The sequence below is a fragment of the Homo sapiens genome, chromosome 9 (assembly GCF_000001405.40).
Source record: "Homo sapiens chromosome 9, GRCh38.p14 Primary Assembly".
Taxonomy (NCBI): domain Eukaryota; kingdom Metazoa; phylum Chordata; class Mammalia; order Primates; family Hominidae; genus Homo; species Homo sapiens.
Genome location: NC_000009.12, coordinates 90,996,146 through 91,016,645, shown reverse-complemented (window position 1 = coordinate 91,016,645; position 20,500 = coordinate 90,996,146). Strand labels below are relative to the sequence as shown.

The following is a 20,500-nucleotide window of genomic DNA, read 5'->3' as shown; positions in this document are numbered from 1 at the left end:
GCAGTACTTAGCACAGTGTCAAGCACACATTAGGTGCTCAGTAAATAGAAACCTTATTGCTAAATAAAAAATTAGAATTGAAAATAGAACTACCTCATGATCCAGCAATCCCACTGCTGGGTACATATCCAAAGGAGATGAACTTGGTATGTCGAAGAAATATCTGCACTCCCATGCTCAGTGCAGCATTATGCACAATAGTCAAGATGTGAATTAACCTAAACGTTCATCACTGGATGAAATAATAAAGAAAATGTGGTATACACTCACAATGAAATATTGTGTACTCAACCATAAGAAGAAGGAAATTCTGTCATTTGCAACAGCATGGGTGAACCTGGAGAAAGTTACACTAAGTGAAATAACCCAAGTGCAGAAAGACGAATACCACAGGATCTCTCTTATATGTGGAATCTAAAAAAGTTGAAATCACTAGAAGCAGAAAGTAGAATGGTGGTTACCAGAGACTGGAGGCAGGGAGACTGGGGAGATCTTGGTCAAAGGATATAACATTTCAATTAGACAGAAGGAATAAATTCAAGAGATCTGTTGTACAACATGGTGACTATGGTTGATAGCAATATATTGTATACTTAAAAATTGCTAAGAGTAGATTTTAAGTGTTTTTGCCACAAAAAAAAGGTAAGTGTGTGAGGTAATACACAGGTTAATTAGCTTGATGTAGGCATTCAATGTCTACATATTTCAAAACATCATATTGTACATTATACATAGGTACAATTTTTATTTGTCAAATTTTAAAAAGCCAAAAATGCTACTAGATGTATAATGCTGTGGTATCTAGGAATCTGCATTTTTATAAATATTCTAGTTAATTACAATGCAGTTATTCCTCAGAAAACACTTGGAGAAATACAGATATGACTCCTAAAATGTAAAAATGTCCATTGTACAGCACAATTGCCTGCAATGGGGATTCCTGTATTTTTTTATAATTTAATAGAACAAATTATATATTGAGACAATTTAAGAATCAAAGAGGGCTTTTCATGTTAGGGAACATGCTAAACTTTTCTTCTTAACATGCTAGCAAAATTTGCATTCCAGGGTTCTTTTAGTCCTAAGGGTATCACTTATGAGAACCCATGTCATGTCTTATTAAAGTTGATCAAAAAGTTCGATTTTGTGGCTAGTAGGCTTAAAATACCAAGGCTTCCTGTGGAAACAGAGAACGAGACTCTCCACGTTCCAACTTCAAGGGTAATGCAGGAATCAAATGTTTTGGAGTTTTCAGAGTGAAACGATTCAGAGAGGCTCTATAAAATTAATTGCCTTTCACCACTCTTAAAGCAGGTAGACCTACAGACATATAAAAACCCACTGAATATTTAAAAGTTTCCTTCCAGCTCTAAAATGTTATTTTTTTAGAATTAAATTCAAAATTATCTAGGGCAAAATGCAAAATCCAGTAAAAATAACATCAGATGAGGTAGTAAATGGGCAAGGTCTGTTTTTATATGCTTCACAACTTACTGACTCATGTCCTCCTTACTTCATCCCTGTGAAGTCGGTGTTACTATTAATTTCATTTTACAGATGAGAAAACTGAGCCACAGGGAGACTAAGCAACTTGTCCAAGGTCACAGAGGGAGTACTGGAAAATCCAGGATTGGAACCGGAGCAATGGGATCCTGGTGCCATGCTCTTGACCTCTCTATGATAATATGCTCTGTTCATATTTTAACCTCTTTGCTTGCTCCTAGCTCTGTCAAATGTGCATATCAGAATATTAAAGTATCAGTCATGGGACAGGGTGCAGTGAGAATTTATGAAACTAAATTATCATAGAGTCTATTGTGTTTTACTTTTTAATGAAAAAGGTAGTTGCTATATAACAGGCTAAAACTTAGCTTGAACCATGTGACATTGCCAAGAGTTACCTACTGTTGTCATTTTTGACCTAAATTGATAATTTTTTAGTTGACTCTTGGCTACTTTGTATGGTTCAATCAAATATATAATTCACCATTGAATTGTGATGTACAGTTTATGAGAATATTACCCCACTCTTCTGTTTGCTCCTCACAGTCTTGGGAGGTGGAGAGAACTCTGTTATTACCCCTGCTTCACAGAGGAAGAAATGACGGTCGCATTGAAGAGACCTGCCCCAAATGGTGCAAGGTTGGATAGTGACCAGAACAATCCTTCACCACTGCTCGGTTCCTCCCGTCACCCTCTTGTCCTGGTGGCAGCCAATGGCTGCTTTTCAGTGGCCAATATGCAGGGGTTTTAGGCATCACTTTGGACAGGCATATTGAATTCATCAAATGCAACTTGATAGGAAACTTGAGCAGAAGATATAAAAGGAGGGTGCCTACCAGCCAACAGCAAGGGCTGAGACAGGAGCCAGTGCAGTGCACATTATATCGTTTCCAGAGCTATTGGCAGAGAGGGAATGTCCTCCCTCCTCGTAATTTTGATTCCTCCACGCTCCTTCCTGTCTCTGCATCTGATGACTGAGGGCTGGTCTCTCCTGGGTCGCCCGCAAGCTGCCTCGCTACAGGGAGAGCCAGGTGTGAGGCAACCTGTCTCTGGTTTCCCATGAGGGTTCTCCTGCTTCTCTGTGGTATCTGGAGATGACCCTGCCTGGTTCCTGTGTGAAGTACAGTGAAACAACCTCCTTTCAATAAGGTGTGTAAGACCCAGCTATCCCATACATGACATGATACATACACACAGGCTGTTGTTGATGACCATTCAGGGCTTCCTTAGGGGACATGTGCCTTGACCACAGGTTCTGCCCCATCTTCTTCCTCTGGGGAAGAGAGGTGAAGGAGCCAGACTCCTGATGCCAGCCCCCTGAGAGCTGAGAGCGACAGGGTAAGAGCAAACATGCAGAGGAGGGGCTCAGGCAATCTCCTGGACCACAGCTGAATGCACATGGACCCAGCATGGCTGATGGCAGCCCATGGGGGACACAGTAGCACTGTCTCTGTGGCTGTTTGTGTTGTTTTGTTGAATTGGAGGCATCCGTTGAGGATGATGTCATTTAGATGAAAAACCACTAAAGTGAGAGCCAGCAATTCTGGATCTTAATCAGGGTTCTGTCTACGGGAAGCTGTGTAGTTTCCCACTGGCCTTAGGTAATCCCTGCCAGGCTGTGCCACCCTCCCCAGATTCATATCTACCCACTTTCCCCTTGAATCAAAACTGTCTAGCCATTCCAGGCCATGTCAGCTCCTAGGCCAAACCCCTTCTTTCCTTCTTGAAGGCCTCCACAGGTTCCCTTGCCCTCTGACTGAAGTGCTCCTGCTCCAGTCATGGCCAGGTGAACAATTATTCAGTTTCCTAACTCCTCCTCCCCTCCCTAAGTAGGTTTTCATGCTCTGCTATTTCATAGCAACATTTTTTTTGTCTGTCTTCATACCTGTTTCAATCATCTGTTGATGCATAACAAACCACGTCACATGTAGTGGTTTTAAAACAACAGTTTATCATTTTTCATGATTCTTTCCAGGAGAAGCATCTGGTTCATCTACTTGGCTGGGGCACTGGGATGCCCCATTTCAAAGTGCCTGAGTCTCATGGCTGGTGGTTGGTGTTAGCTGCGGCTAAGACTCAGCTGGGGCTGTTGGCTGGGGCCTTCAGTAGTTTCCCTTGTGATCTTTTCTGGGTACTTGGGCTTCCTCACAATATGGCAGCTGGATTCTGAGGAGGAATGTTACGTGAAGTGAGGCAGAGGTTGCCTGACTCCTGAGGCCCAGCCTCACAACTGCCCAGCATCTGCCACATCTGTTATTGCTTGAAACAGATCACAGGGACAAGGAAGAAGATTCTATATCTTGATGGAAAAAGAAAAATTTACATTAGAAAAGAAAACAGGATGTGCGAAAAAAGTGGCAATCTTTGAAAACTTGGTCTATTTCAGTACCATGAATCACACGATCATCTCTTTTGATCTTTATGTTCTTCCTTGAGCTGCAAATATTTTGAGAGCAAGGACCATTTATATTTGCTCACCACTGTTTCCTCAACCTCTTGTACTGTTTTTTATATACTTGCAGAATAAATGGAAGGTACATTTATTGTGCCTTGTACAAATCACTTCACCTCGATAACCAACTTACATTCTATAAGACAATAGAGCTAGATCACATGATTATATGTAAGGCTTCAAGTTTTACTCATAAAATTATATGACTTTTTACTCAACTGAGATAGCCTAGCAATATGCTTATGGATCCTTTAATAACTGGTATACAGCTGGGCAACTATCATCTAATTTTAGCCTGAGAGCTCTCTGGAAAAGCCTACTGTTGTTCTGGCACATGGTACCTATTGAATAATTCCATTTTGTAGCAAAGCCAAAAATAATAATCATGTTTCATAGTTGAAGGCTTTGCAAACCACACCATAAATGTCCATACCCTTTGGTCACCCCAGAGATAGGTCATTTTTAAATTGGTAGTCTTGACAATAATGGTGATCATACAAAGAATGTAGCTTCCTTTGAAACACCCTGAAGCATTCTCACGGAAATCTTTTTATCTTCACTGTATCCTTGTAAAGTAGGAAATGGACAAGTAATTGTTTGTGTCAAATGACCATTTCCTTAAGTTCAGTGGATTGGGCTATTGTGCATTTCAGTGGTACAATTTCCATTTTACTGCTGCTCTTGTCGTGATGATGAACTTCGTGGATCCTTGATAAGTATATTTTCCACTGCCTCAAAAGTACATATTTATTTGTTTCAATGAAACCATTTAATAATACCTTTTTATGAATAATATTGATTTGAAAATATAATTTGAGCATGAAATATGATGTGATGTTTACAAGAATTGGAATGCTTTCTCTAAATTTGTACTTTCTCCCCAAATGTTAAAATTCTGGGGCCTGTGTTATTATTATTATTACTTTTTTACAGAAGAAGCTTCTTCAAAGAAGCTGTTTATTCAGGCAAGAAAACACTTTTGTGGTACTATGTGCATTAGGAAGCACAACATGATAGCGCATTGAGAACATGTCTCAATTAATAAAATATAATTTTCATGTTACTCAAACTGTGGCAGATCACAGGAAAAGAAGAAAATTTCTCATTTATTTTATATTTCGCTCATTATAATTTTAATACAAAAATCTGACTTTATTGATCTTTATTTCCTTCTTTTTTATTTATTATTATTATTTTTTACTATGCCTTGACTTTGTATAGAATAAAATCTGATTTTAAAAATAACAAAGTAAAAGGAAAAACAATGAATCAATTCCCTTTGGGAATATAGACACGAAACCAAAAAACTGTACAATATTAGTGAATCAAATTCAGCAGTAAATTAGAAAATGAATCCTGCTTGACCAAGCAGGGCTTGTTCCAGAAATGAAAAAGAGGTTTAACATGCTTAGCGTACTCATTATATGAACACAGTAAACAAACATATAATTAAATCAACAGATTTAAAAATCACATTTGACTAATTTTTAGTTATTTATTGCAAAAGCTGTAAATAAAATAGAACTAGGAGGAAGCTACTGAGAGATAATGAAGGTGGTTCGTAAAAAACTACATATTTTGAAATATTAAACAACTGAAATGTGGAACATGACTGCAATGCCCCAATCGCCATTATTAAACAACATTATTTTTGAGAGTCTAGCTAATGTAATAAAATATAAAACAAGTAAGTCATACCAAGGTTAGGATAGAAAGATCAAAATTAACTTTATTTGTAGGCAATAGGATTACAGGCTTGGAAAATACAATAGGCCAGATTTTAAAAACTGTTGCATTCAAAAGATATTTTGTACACAAAATAAAACATAAAATTAATACCTTTAAAGATAACATCAATAGATAGAAATTAAATGAAAAACTGCCAATGTATAATAACAATAAAAGCTATCAAGTAAATGAAAATGAATTTAACGAGACACATTTAGACATAAAGGAAGGCTGTTCCTCAGTTTTAAGGAGGATGGAACCGTAGAGATGCAGGCCTTCAGAACAGGGTTTCTGATGGCTCTGCCTCCACTCCCAGAGAGTCTCTCAGTGGTGCCTCTTCTGTGCCAGACCCTTCTGCATAGGCGGGCAGATGCCATAGCACCCCCAGGCCTCACACCCACTCAGGGCCCCTTCTCTGAGGAAGAGAGATGATAGCATGTCACGTGGACCCAGAAGAGCAAGGGAGAACCTTCCCCAAATCCCCCAGCACAGCACTCCTCACATCTTTTCCACCAGAATTGGTTCACGTGCCAATTTTTGAGCCAGTCTCTGGAAAGAGCTATGAGCTTAGACAACCTAATGTAATCTCTGGATTAGGATTATCTTTCTCTGAAGAATATGGCAGAGAGTTTATGTTCTGAACAAGTTTGAGATTTCGTTAGTAAGGAGGAGGTGGAAATGAATTAATTCTAAGTAAACAACAATCAGTCACTTGAAAGAAAACAAAGATAGACTCCTACCTTGTTCCGTGCACAAAAAGTCCAAGTTTAAATAATGTATTAGTTCATTTTTGCACGGCTGTAAAGAAATACCCCGAGACTGGGTAATTTATAAAGAAAAGAGATTTAATTGGCTCACAGTTCTGCAGGCTGCACAAGAAGCATGGTCGGGGAGGCCTCAGGAAACTTACAATCATGGCGGAAGGCAAAGGGAGAGTAGGCATGTCTTACACGACAGGAGCAGGAGCAAGAGAGAGAGCAGGGAGGTGCCACACACTTTTAAACAACCAGATCTCATGAGAACTCTATCATGAGACAGCACCAAGGGGATGATGCTTAACCGTGAGAAACCATCCCTGTGATCCAATTACCTCCCACCAGGCCCCACTGCCAAACATTGGGTATTACAATTGAAAATGAGATTTGGGTGGGGACACAGATCCAAACCATATCAAATAACTAAGTGTAAAACAAACCCATACAAGTATTAGAAGAAAATATAGAAGAATGTTGCCTAATCTTGGGGTGAAAAAGGCCTTGTCAAGCAACAAACAAAACTCAAAGGACATACAGGCAGACAGAGGCTGGTTTCACGATGGAAGTTAATCATTTCTATATGGCAAAAAAACAGAGAGAGTCAAATAGCAAGTGACAGGGTAAAACATTTGAACTATATGTGGAGAAAGGTTTAATATCTCTCATATACAAAGAACTTCTTCAGAAAAGGAAAAATAAAGGTCCAGTTGAAAAGTATCAAAGGATATGAACAGGCAAGAGAAAATGCAAAAAGTAAGAGAAAATTAAAACTCTCGACCTCATTAGTATGAGGACAATTAAAATTAAAACAACAAAATGCCAAATTTACTATCAAATTTTAACAAATTAGAGAAAGTTTATAGGATCCAATATTGGAAAGGATTTAGAGAAACTGTACTCCCTGATTTTACAGATGGGAGTGTGCATTGCCCCAAATGTTAGAGGAAGTAATCTGACAGTATCTGTTAACTCTATGATGGAGAAATCCCACTTTTAGCAATATGTTTTACAAAAATTAAAAAAATAGAAATATGCCCAAAGATATTCTCGTGCATTTATTGTAACAGAAAAACACAGAACACAATCTGAATATCTATCCATGGTGGAATTGCTGTAAAAACAATGCAGCATACATACTGTGCACTAGCATTGATATTAAAGGCGTGGGTTAAACCCTGAGTAAGAAGGCATAAGAAGGCAGCAGTGGTGGCATAATTGTGAATGTTCTGGAAACCCTCAACAAATCCAACCAGAGCAATTGAAATAATAAAAACTCATTATCTATGAATAACATAACAAAATGAGTTGATAAGGTGTCTCCCAAACCACAAATAAAAGCGGGTGGAGTCAGACCACAGATGGCAACAAGGCCTATGTGATACAGGCTGCTGGGCAGGAGGTGGTGAGGGAGGACAGGACACTCTATGAATGCTCCACACCAGCCAGCCAAAGTTGACCTCCTGACAAACCTCCACAGTGAAGAGGACCCTGCCACTTTGCTCTCGAAAGTCTCCTGTCTCTCTCAATCATCACTCGTTTATTTAAAAAAAATGTTGTTTGTATTTTTGTTGATATATCATGGCTATACATATTTTGGGGCTACATGTGATATTTTGATACCTGTATCCATTATGTAATGATCAAATCACGGTAACTGCAATATCCACCATCTCAAGACTATATTTTCTTTGTGTTGGGAACATTACAATTCTTCTCTTCTAGCCATTTTGAAATATGCAATAAATTATTGTTAACTATAATTTCTCTGCTGTTCTATAGAATACTAGAAGTTATTCCTTCTAACGATATTCTTGTACACATGAATCAACTTTTCTTCATCCCTTCACCTTCCTTCCCTTCCCTGTAAAAAGTATTTTTGCATCTATATATATGAGAGGAATTTGCCTGTTCTTTTCCTTTCTTACAATGATGTTGCTTGGTTTTGGTGTCAAGGTCATGCAGGCTTCAGAAAACAGGTTCCTGGGGGTTTCATTGATTTCTGTTCTCTGGAGGAGTTTGTGTAAGATTTGCATTAGTTTTTCACTGGGCAGCCATTTGGGTCCGGAGTTTTCTCTAAGAGAAGGTTTTAATTTATGGTGTTAATTTCTTCAATATTAAAGGATTATCCTTGTTTATTATTTCTTCTGGAGTCAGCTTTGGTGAGTTGGAGTTTCCTAGGAATTTGTTTACTTTTCTCTTAAAAATTTAAGTTTATTGGTTTATTGTAATTATCATCTTACTATCACATTCCTATCTCCAGAAGCTATAGTGATGTGCCCCCCTCCTGACCTCCATTTCTGATTCTTGGGATTTGTGTCCTCTTTTTTACATTGATAAGTCTTAGCAGGAGTTTGACAAGTTGCTTCTTTCAAAGAAAGAACTTTCGCTTTATTGAGCCTTTGTATTAGATGTCTATTTTCTATTACATAAATTTCTGTCCTCTCATTTTATTCTCTTTCTCCAACTTTGCCTTTTTTTAAAAAAAAATTAATTTGGTAATCTCATTCTAATTTCTTTAGATGGATACTTAGACCACTTGGTATTTAGTTATTTATGTTCCTTCATGTATCTGTTTAAGTTTTAAAATTTCCCTCTAAGCACCGTGTTAGCTGCATCTCACAAGTGTTTAGATTTTTGTTATCAAGTTCAAAATAATTCCTAATTTCCATTGTAATGTCTTCATTGATCCTTGAGTGCTTTAGAAATTTATCCCTTACCTTCCAAACATATGGGAATTTTCTAATTAGCGTTTCATTATTATTTTCCAGATTAACTGAGCAGTGATCAAACAGCTCCATGGGACAAGGAGAAGCTGGGCTCACCTCATGGAATATGGCCAAGACCTCAATGGGCCTGGAGGTGATGTGGTGGCAGCTGGGGCAGAAGCAGCTGGGGACCTCTGCAAACAAGGGGTGCGGGTCCCTGGAGTCAGGAGAGGCTGAATGCATCTGATAAGGGGCATAAATTGTGTTCAATGAAATATCTTTCATTAGTTTGGGGAAATCTTCACCCAGTATCTCTTAATGTTGCTTCTGCTCCAGTCTGTGCTGTTACCTCTGAACAGGACACTGTATTCTCTTGTTTTTCACCCTTTCTTTTATGTTTCACATCTGTTTGTCTCTTTGTGCTTTATTTGGAATCTTTTCTTCTAGTTTATATTCCTATTTACATATTTTCTCCTTAGCTGTATCTCTTCTGCTATTTAGCCCATTATAAGCTTTAATAGCAACAATTTTATTTTTCAGAAGAATGTCCATTGTTTTTCTTTAAAAGTTTCCAGTTTTCTGTTGAAATTTTCAGTCTTATTCATAATCTGCTTAAATATATTGAGGTAGTTAATTTATAGACTGCGACTCAAACTGGATTTTAAATGCTATTGAAAAATTTTTGTTTATTTTCTTAGGTGTGATAATGGTATAATGGTTAGGTCATTAAAATTGTATAGTGAAGTCCTTAGAGGGGAAATGATATTATGTCTGTGATTTATTTTTAAATACTCCAAAAAAGTGTGTGTGTGTATATATAACTGGTGAGGATGCATAATTTGTACATGGGAGCTCATTCTGGTATTCTTCCTTTGATGTAGGCTTTAAAAAAGTTTTTAAAAAGTCAGTTCTGATAATTCCATTATGGGGGCAATGCCAGAGTTTGCTTCTATCGTCTTTCTTTTCTTAAATTTGTGTATATTTAAGGTATACAACTTGATGATTTGATACTGCTTCTATTTTTTAAATTGCCTTTCTTGCTTTATATTCCCATGCTTTGGTTTTGAGAATATTGGGTTATTTCTGACTGAATTGCAATATTGTTTATTAAGAGTAGTAGAAACAGTTTGAGGCCTAGTCTGATGTTATCTCCCTCAGGCAAGATTTATATTTTCTCCTGGTTGGCAGCTGGGGTCTGAGCAACTCAGGTTCCCCATAATCCAATTTCACAAGAGATTTGACACCGGGATTCAGTGCCCACAAGGGCTGATTCACAAATGGATCACCCTTGCTCATAGGATGTAGCCTTTCATGGTCCTGACTGAGAATGGATGGTTTAGGAGCCTTCCCTGCCCTTTGGTGGGCCCTGAACTCCAGACCTTATGCTCGCTGCACTGAAAGGCTGCCAGACGCTCTTCTGCTCCCTATCCCTGCCTCTGGACTGCTTCTGGAAGCAGCAGGTGTCTCTGGGAAGATTGGCCGCAGGTGCTAGGCTCACTCTCTGTCCTTCCTTTTGCTCCCAAATCATGTTCTGTAACAATTTATTGGCTTGTTTGTTCTCTGGTGCCTTCAAGTAGATGGCTTTCTAACAACAACAACAAGAACAACAATTACCATCTTTTCTTGTTATTCTCATGTGGCAGGAATGGACTAAGTTAGTCCTCCATTGCCATGTGCCATCTATCTTCTCTCTTTGTCCCTCCTCCTTTGATGGGCCCCTCCCGTCATCCTGACCATCTCTCCTGCCTGGTGGGAGGCTTTTGCTTCCATTGATGAACAGAGTGCTACTCTAGAGTGTGTTGATACTGACAAAGCCCTGGGTAGTCCATTCTGCATACAACTCCAGAGTGTTTGTGTCTCTTCATACCAAGCCTATGTCCCTGATAAGCATGGATCCCTGAGTGAGGTGCGCTAAGACATTATATTATATGGTTGCCTGTGCTGGGGTTGCCTGAGCTCGAAGGAAATGTCTGTGGCAGGAGAGTGGCCTGCCTGAGAACACCGAATACATCCCAGGAAAACAGATGAGGGGGATAACTCACTACAGGTCACTGTGCCTGGGACCAAGCACATTTCTTTCAGCAGCTCTTTGGATGCTTTTGGGGAGTGTGGCTTGAATTAGAGTGTTTTGGACTTTCTAGAAGATAATATGGAACTTCTGCTGGGATTCAGTTTAGTTTAACAAATGTGAAGAGTGGAAGGGAGGAAGGGAAGAAGGAAAGAAAGGAGAAGGGCTAGGAAGAGAGATGTCAGTGGAATGGGCTGTTCTCCTATATTCAGGCCCGAGAGACACCTAGAGGCCACCTGAAAGCTAACCACAGCTCCGTAATGCCTGTGCCTGGAGCATATCACCTGAGCGGGTGGCAGAGCTCAATGTTTTCTACTGTGGGAGAGAAGCTCAATTATTAAAGACAGAAGGATTGGCAGAGCAGGGGCAATCCCATCCAAACACCCCTGCAGGGATAGGTGGAGCTCGGGGGAGTAAGGTCCTCCCTCTACTACTCTGCCTTCGTCTTCTGGGCCCCCGTTCCTGCCCTGTCGCCCCGTATAGATGGCGTAGCTGATTCAGTGAACTCGCCATGTGCCGGCCACCACTTGCAGTGTTTCACATGAGTTAACTTACTTAATTCTCTAAGCAATCCTGTAAGTTAGGAACTCCCTCATCCTTATTTTAGAGATGAGGAAACTCAGACACAAATTAAGTAATTTCTCTGGGAAATGTTGGAGGTGGGAATTCAAACTAGTTTGTTTCCAGAGTCTGTGCTTTTTTGCTGAACTCATTTGTGCTGGAGCACAAAGCCATTCCTGTTAGCTGCATTCCTTCCTGCAGGGACAAACTCCATCCTCATCCCGGGCAGTACTAACCCATTCTGCAGAGGAATAATGACACTGGCATAGTGGGGCTCACGCCCGGACATGGGTCTCCCCTAGACCCGGTTCTGGGCCCGGGTCTCGCCTCCCCTGCTTCACACTTCTTCAGAATTGAGCCTTATGGAATCTGGCTGTGGCAGATAAATCATTCCAAATCACAGAGACTTACAGCCTTTCTCAGAGTTGGAAATCACAATGGTTCCATGATAGGATACCATAAATCTTCAGCTAAATAGATTTGTGATTCTTCAAGGGACTCTGGTTCTGGCTGTTGACAGAAAATGCCTCATAAGGCCTATTTACCGCTGGCTTTGTCATCTGTCCCAGCAAAGAGACAAAACCCCAAATAGTGCCAACTTAAATTCCAAATTTTGAGTTTGCCATAAGCACTGAAATACAACAAAAACACAGTTTTTCATAGATATCAGTCATATGTAAATAGGAGAAGAAATCAAGCATGAAGTCTGTGTTAAATACAATCATAGTTCTTTTATTTAACAAATTAAAAAAGTAAAAGCTAGCTTTATATTCCTGTCATAGTCAGTTGAGTGATGGATTCATCTGATGGTGGCCTGGACCTCTAACTTTCCTTCACAAGCCTTAACTCCAGAAGAATTAACTCTGCTGTCAGTGACAAGATGAGAGTGACCACCATGACCAGCATCAGGGCCAATGGTGGTGGGTCAGGATGGTTGGGCCCAAAGGTTTCCAGGGTGGGGTCACGGTGTCCATGAAATCAACAGACAACCTATCTGATCTATAAACTGAAAAGCACTTGAGTTAACACTCCTGAATCTGAGTGAGCACACACTATGGAAAGTCCCTGAGAGAAGAGGTGGTTTGTTCCCCTTGAGCCCAGACCCTAGAGAAACTGCCACAAGAGCATACTCTATCTTCCTCCTACCATCCAAGAAATTACCTGAAGCCATTAACTAGGGTGGCCATGCACAGGGGAAAGGGAGAAACTCAGATTTTCAGGGATACATAGGCACAGGCTCTGGGCTGATACGAATCCAAACCAGATTGGAGATTGATGTGGGAGGTGAGATGGTCAGGGGAGAAATAGAATTTTGGCCGAAGTCTATTTCACAGTAGGCCAGTGGCTCTGGGAGCCCATCTTGTGGTTATTTTTCTAGCTCCTGAATGTAAAGTTGAGATAGAAATACTCGACAACTGCTCAAATCTCTACACTGATGTCCTTATCAATGTGGAGGGTGGGGCTAGGGTCCCTCTGGTAGAAATGGTCACATGGAAACCCCTGGAACTACCTTTCCCTATAAAACCAAAATCAACAAGCATATCTGGTGAATTTCAAAGATGGTGCACCATCAGAAACTTGCAAGATGCAGGGGAGGCGACTCTCGTGTCCTCTTCATGCAGAGGACAGGCGATTCTTGGAGAATGACAATAAATTGTCATACGTGTAATAATATATGACTACAACTGTAGCCATTCTTCAAGAGGTAGCTTTTTTGGTGGAGCAAATCAACACAGCCCTTGTCTCCTGGTATGCACCTTTTGTATTGGCTAACGCTTTCTCTACATTCAAATAAATAGAAAGCAGCAGGAGGGATGTGCTTTCATCAGACAGGAATGTGGTACTCCTTCATGGTCTCAGGAGCATTTAATTAGAAAACTAAAAAATACATTTTCAAGACTCCTTTGCAGCTAGGATTCTGGAGGTCAATTAGTGTCATTTAGATTCACTAGAGTGAAGATTGGCTAACTATGGCCCAGGGACCAAGTCTATTTTTGTAAACAGGTGCACAGAATACTCATTCATTTACTTATTACTTTGGCTGTTTCAACACTGTAATGGCAGAGTGGAGTGGCTGTGACAGAGAGTCTATGGCCCACAAAGCCACAAATCTGGACTCTCTGGCCCTTTCTAGTGCATGTTTGCTGGCCCCTGATGTGGAGCAAGAGGTGAGCCAGGGCTGAAGCTGGGCCTCCCTACAGCTTCTGTCTTTCACTGTGGGTTCAGGAGAGTCATGGATTTCTTCTAAGTTTTTCCAGTGTTTATCTTTGATTTCCTGAGTCTCAGGGACAGTCACATCTCGATGTTTTGGGTGTTAGTCCCTAGAGCTTCCAACCTAGACTGCCTGGCTCCAGTGTTGACCTCAGAGGCAATAATTCCCCCACTGGCCGGTTCTCATTGTTCTGAGGGTCATTTGAAGAGTCACAGCCTAAAACCTGCTTCTTCAATAATTTTTTTTTTTTTTTTTGGGATGGAGTCTTGCTCTGTCGCCCAGGCTGGAAATGCAGTGGCACGATCTTGGCTCACTGCAACCTCTGTCTCCTGGGTTCGAGTGATTCTCCTGCCTCGGCCTCCCGAGTAGCTGGGGCTACAGGTGTGCACCACCATGCCTAGCTAAGTTTTGTATTTTTAGTAGAGATGGGGTTTCATTGTGTTGGCCAGGAAGATCTCGATCTCTTGACCTCATGACCTGGCAGCCTCAGCCTCCCAAAGTGCTGGGATTACAGGTGTGAGCCACCGTGCCCAGCCTCTTCAATAATTTTTAAAACATTAAATTCCAAATATTAAACCTTCTTCAATCAAGTACCTAGAATTACTTTGGTTTCCTAGACTGAATCCTGGATATTACATTCCTCGAGCCTGTGTACCAGTGATTGGCATTTAAACACACAGAGTTCTTCATATATATCAATTGTTTGTAATATGTAATAAAAATGTATATGTTATATGTATAAATCGAGACAAAGACGGTGTTGAGGATATTATAAGATTTTAAAATTTAATAAATTAAATGGCAAAGACTAATGTTACTGCACAATCACAATATGTTAAATGGAAAATCCCCTACAGAGTGATTTGATTTGAAACATCATTAGGCCCCAGCTTTTCCTGACTCTGAGGCTCTGGCCCACTCAGGAGGTTCTGCCATGGCTGGAATGTCTGATTTCATAGGTACAGAAAGATTGCTGATAAGAGAGCTTCCTGATTTTTTGGTGTGGGTGCTGTGCTATCTCCAAGGTCTGTTGAAAAAGAGTGGAGGTGGCTGAGCAGCAGAGATGTTTGTTATGCAGCTCAGCTTCCTCATGAGGTCATCTCTGAGGGCAGGTGTGGTCTGCTTCATCAGGATATCTCAGGTCTGAAAGAAACCATTGGCTCCAACCAGAGAAGATCTGAGAGTGACAAACCTGAAGTCAATTATGACAAGATGACATCATGGCTTCTGTCTCAGGTAACAGCAGCCATGCACGTCATTATGATGATCTGACTTGGTTTTCTGAGTTTGCCCTGGGGCAGGGTGAGGGTTGGGCAAGGAGCCAGAATCCAGGCATGCTCCCTGGGCACCTTGCCATTATTCAGTTCCTAATGAAGCTTAGAAGCATTACCTCTCCCTGAATCAAAGCATGGGTTTCCACCTCCCTAGCCCCACCCTGAATCCTCCATGCTTCTCAGTTCATTGAGAAATAGGTGGAGAGCCCTCTGATGATTTCGGACTGACTCATTCAATTATTTTGCAAAAAAATGAGTTCAAATTCAAGAGTCTAGGTTTCTTTGAGTTTCTGTTTTCTTCTTCTTTCATTCTATTCTCCCATTTGACCTTTAACTTTTCTTCACAGCTTTAGGGGGAAAATGAGCAAATTCCTCAAAGGTTTCCACTAGAGGAATAAAAAAGACTAATTCCTGGAAATAGAGATGACAGGTTGATCCCTATTCTTTTGGCACAGAATCTATATTTAATATGATATTGAGAACTTACTGTCTGTAAACATGATAGAACTACATTATGTGTTAACTTGGAAACAAAATCTGTGTTTACCATATTCCAGAAGAGAGATTTCTATTCTTGTCCAAGTGGGACACACTGGGCTCCTGACCAGATGTGGTTTTCTAGAAAGACGAAAAAATGGGAGTAAGACTTCCAAACGGTTTTCATGGTGGGCCCGCGATTTATACACGATGATGGCAACATGGTGGTTCTCTCCTCTGGGATTTATTTGACATTACACACAATTAGAGCTATGAAACAAAAACCTTTCCCTAACAAACAGAAAATGGGACCCCAGGAAGCTGAAAAATAATGGAGGGAGCCAAAGATGGGTAGTAGAAAAAGCTGTATCTTATAAAAACTAATCTGGCCATGGGGCTGTTCACAAACAATTCGTTATCATTTCTCTTGTGGTCTCTCTGAGGGCTTTCTGGCTGTTTGAATGCTGTATTTTCATAAGATAGTTTCAAACAAAAGGCCAGAAGGACAGTGGGAGCAGAATAAAAATTAAACATGTTGACTTTGTTTGGTGCCCTGTAGGTAAAATGTCACATCTTGTCCTCAGCTCCTGAAGATGTAATTACCCGGCTCATTTCCCAGAGCTGCTGTGCAATTCGTATTGCTTCCAGGTAACAGATTATGCAAACTCATGATTGCAAACAGGAACCGAGCTGTTTTGAGGATGAAGTTTTGTTAGTTCAGGGTATCTGCAAATGCAGTTGTTTGGCTTCTCTATCATACTCTGGCACTGATGGTAATTGTGCCGTGTAGAAAATGCAGAATTGTTACGAGCGTCACACGCCTAGGCTTGTTGGCAGACGTGGGCCCAGGCTGGCTGGACGTGTTTCAGCCCTGTGTTTCTGCCGCTCAGGGAAGACAGCTAGGAACTTGATGCACTATTCACAAAGGTTTATCACAGGCCTACTGTGTGTTGAGTGAGCTCCAAAGGCTAACATTTCCTACTGGCTTCGGGTAGGATGCGCAGTGTGGCTGTTGGTCTCTCGGGTGGCCTGCCCGGGCTATACTATTCCACTGGGCACTGCAGGCAGAAGCATGTTTTACTTTTGTGGTTAGAATACCTCAAGTTTTCTATGAAACTCCAGGCACCAAGTTTCAGTACCCAAGGAAAAGTAGGGTGCCACACAGTGGCATGGACTGAAGTGGCCAGTGTTTTCCCATCCCATCATGGGATGGGAAGCAATTGGCTTCGTTGCTCCTGGCATCAGTCCCTCCAGTAACATAAGCTATTCACATTACAAGCAAGCAACTGGACAATGACACACATCTCTTCTCATTTTATTGCATTTGCTTTTGTTCTGCATGCACCCACACACACGCACTCATACACACACACATTCACACACACACACATATGCACATACATACTCTCTTTTCCCCCAGGCCTCTGAGTCCAAAGCAAGAGTTACTGACTAAACAAACTGGCTTTTCTTTCATTCTTTCTACATGATATGAAAGCAAATGAGATTATTTCTGAAACACACCAAAACTAAATTGCCAAGTGAGAGTTTTGCATAAAGTCCACATGTGAGGCAATATACATAATGTTACTTTTAAAGAAATTCCCGAAACTCTTTTCTTCCAAGATAAACAGTGTGTGTTTATCACAGATTCTAGGGGATTTCGATTCACTATGATATTCCAGAAGTATTCAGCTTTGCTCTTGCTTTAGTTCTATGCATCCCCTTACAAAGTTCTGTTTTGTTTTGTTTCTTTCTAAGTTTACCTATATCATCTTTTTCATCTTTCTACCCGTTGTTTTACCCAAAGCCCTTGCTTGGGGGCTAGAGCACGTTGTATTTGCAAAGATGGTCACACTAATATATACTCCATCCCATGACTCTTCCTACAGTGCAATGCTAGCCCCCACTGAGAGGTGTGAGGGAGTCTCACCCTCACACCTGGGGACACCCCTATTACTGCCTGGACCAATAGAATACAGGGAAAGTGATGCTGTGGGATTTCCAAGCTAGGCCGTAAAAGGCAATATGGCTTCTACCTGGCTTTCTTGGGTGCTTTTCCTTGGCTTCCAGCCACCTCATTGTGAGGAAGCCCAGCCTGCAGGGAGAGGTCATGTGTGGGTGTTCCAGCCAAAAACCGGAAGCCTGTGTGGACTGCCACACCCACCAGTTTGTTTGTTTTGTTTTTCATTTGGTGATTAGATTCTCCAGTTTATGTGCCTGCAGATGGTCCCTGCTACTGCTTCGAGTGGCTCAGCGGAGACTCCAGACGCCATGAGGCGGCGACAAGCCACCCTGCCTGAATTCCTGACCCACAGGAACTATGACAGGTGATAAAAAGTCATTATTTTAAGCTGCTAAATGTGAGGGGAATTTGTTAGGCTGCCATAGATAACCGATACAGGACCTCTTGTATCCCAGCCGAGTGGTTTAGCTGCCACGTACAGTAACCTCAGGAATCACCGAGTGGAGGTTCCTCAGCTCTATTTCCAATTTCCTCCTTTAAAAATGTGTCTTTTACGGTCCCCTTTACTAGCCAGTTATGAAATTGCTGGACAATACAACAGATCTAGATATGTGACATACATTTGTATGACTATATGTTCATATATAACATATATATTATTCATATACCTAACAGTAATATAGAGAAGCAAAAGGAAAATAATTCTTCATAAAATAACATGAAATTCAATATATGGTCATTTCTTCTGCAATGTGTTCCTAAAATCACTTGCTATGGAATTTTGCATAATAAAAATAACAGAGCTTGTGGGGAAATGAGGTTAGTGACAGAATACCCAACACCTATACAGTAAGTTTTTCATGACGTTCATAGGCTCTTGGAAACAGTGACTGTAAGCAAAACTGCATAGAAAGAAACCAATTTCCCTATAGGCTAATTGATATCCACAAGAGTTAAGTTCCTGTAGCATATTTCTGATAGCAAAAACATCACCAAACTTCTAAATGAAGACCCAAACACTTGTAATATTAAACATTAAAACAATAAAATAAATGTAATATTAAACATTAAAATAAAAGCTATAACACATTTAAGACAAATTAATAAAAACAAGTAAGAGAATTGTTTACCTGCTTATTCCAGTTCAGGGTTGAGGGTGGCCGAAGCCTATCTCCAAAGCTTAGGGCGCAAGGCGGGAACCAGCCCTGAATAGGACACACTCCCATCGCAGGGCGCGTGCACACCACCTGCACTCACTCATACTGGGATGTGTAGACATGGCAGTTCACCTCATAGGCACACCTTTGGGATGTGGGAGGAAACAGGAGTAGCCAGAAAAAACCTACACAGACCTAGAGAGAATGTGCAAAGTTCACACAGATGGTGGCCCCACCAGGGGGAATTCATTTTTTTTTCTCTTCAACATTATAACAAAATGACTTTGAAATAAAATGATGTTATTCCAGGACCTGCTATATAATTTTGTAATTAATTCATTACAAAATAAATAATAAACTTTATTAAAATTCTGCCATAGTTTGAGACACCTTAAATTCTCAGTCAATAAATATATATGTATATATATATATGCATGTAGGTATATATATATATATATATATATACGTATATATATATATACGTATATGTATATATATATATATACACACATACATACACACACACACCATTTACCTTGACAAACACATGCAGTTTGGAGGGTGGATGTGGTTTTGGAGAAGGGGTGTGTATTAGTCTGTTTTCATGCTGCTAATAAAAATATACCCAAGACTTAGTAATTTATAAAGGAAAGAAGTTTAATGGACTCACAGTTTCACATGGCTGGAGAGGCCTCACAATCATGGTGGAAGAGCAAGGGACATCTTACATGGTGGCAGGCAAGGCAGAATGAGATCCAAGTGAAAGAGGTTTCCCCTTATAAAACCACCAGATCTCCTGAGACTTATTCACTACCACGAGAACAGTATGGGGAAAACCACCCCCATGATTCAATTATCTCCCACTGAGTTCCTCCCACAACACATGGGAATTGTGGGAGCTACAGTTCAAGATGATATTTGAGTGGGGACACAGCCAAACCATATAGGGGTGGATGGAAAGGCCTGTCATTTATGGAATGAAATATTTCCATACAAGAATGGGCATTGGCCTATTTTGGTGCCTTCTCACTGGTTTAAAATAAAAATTCTGCTGCATTCAGTGGTAGTTTTCATCTTCAACCCACTGCAAGTAATTTTTGGCCATATTTCAGACAGCTGATAACTCTACTATTTCATTTTGTTGTTGCTCTCAAAGCCACTTCCCTGATGTTGTGCAATGTGGATTCCTACAGGTGCGATGCTTTTGCAATATCACGTGATCTTTGTGTTTCCAAATATTTTATTATATCAAGCTACTCCTCAATATTCAAGGCTTTTCTTTGACATGCATACTCGGATTCTTATAACCCAAATGATTGCTTATGTTTGAGACTCTGTAATGGATACTTCTATCAAGAACATCTAACACTCAGGAGACCAGCTCTGTGCGCTTGCAGGGCTCACCATGGGCCAGCTTGGTAGCAGGCGGGAGCACCTCAGCAGGAGACTGCTTTGAGCCAGTGGCATTTCTCATGCACACCACCTGGTGTTGCAGCAGCATGAAACTAACCCCTCATGGAAAATGGCTGGGCTTTTCTGTTTTTCTGTTTTTGTTTGTTTGTTTTGTTTTTCATTTGGTGATTAGATTCTCCAGTTTATGTGTCATGTATTGTGATGGTTAAAGATGGCTGTAAATTCCTTGCCA

General features: G+C 40.5%; 1 long non-coding RNA gene across 4 annotated transcripts, besides 2 other annotated features; it reads right to left on the bottom strand.

Moving 5' to 3' along the window:
• Window positions 13,271–13,828: an enhancer, noted in NCBI's record as "NANOG hESC enhancer chr9:93765100-93765657 (GRCh37/hg19 assembly coordinates)". NCBI's record gives its function as "activates a minimal SCP1, AML or CMV promoter by ChIP-STARR-seq in naive H9 embryonic stem cells {active_cell/tissue: H9 hESC(naive)}" and the evidence as "EXISTENCE:reporter gene assay evidence [ECO:0000049][PMID:30033119]".
• On the bottom strand, window positions 14,745–19,608 carry LINC02957 (long intergenic non-protein coding RNA 2957). 4 transcript variants are annotated; one of them, NR_184136.1, is made up of 4 exons: window positions 19,526–19,608; window positions 18,829–19,050; window positions 15,806–15,876; window positions 14,745–15,161 (listed from the first exon to the last, which is right to left on the bottom strand). It is a non-coding gene; the product is annotated as a long intergenic non-protein coding RNA 2957 (long non-coding RNA). The 4 variants fall into 4 exon arrangements; NR_184137.1 differs by having other exon boundaries at window positions 14,745–15,127; NR_184138.1 differs by having other exon boundaries at window positions 14,745–15,176; window positions 18,829–19,000.
• Window positions 15,077–16,276: an enhancer, noted in NCBI's record as "BRD4-independent group 4 enhancer chr9:93762652-93763851 (GRCh37/hg19 assembly coordinates)". NCBI's record gives its function as "activates an origin of replication core promoter dependent on BRD2, P300/CBP, MED14 and CDK7 cofactors, and independent of BRD4, by STARR-seq in HCT116 cells {active_cell/tissue: HCT116}" and the evidence as "EXISTENCE:reporter gene assay evidence [ECO:0000049][PMID:35650434]".
• Window positions 19,609–20,500: the final 892 nt, after the last annotated feature.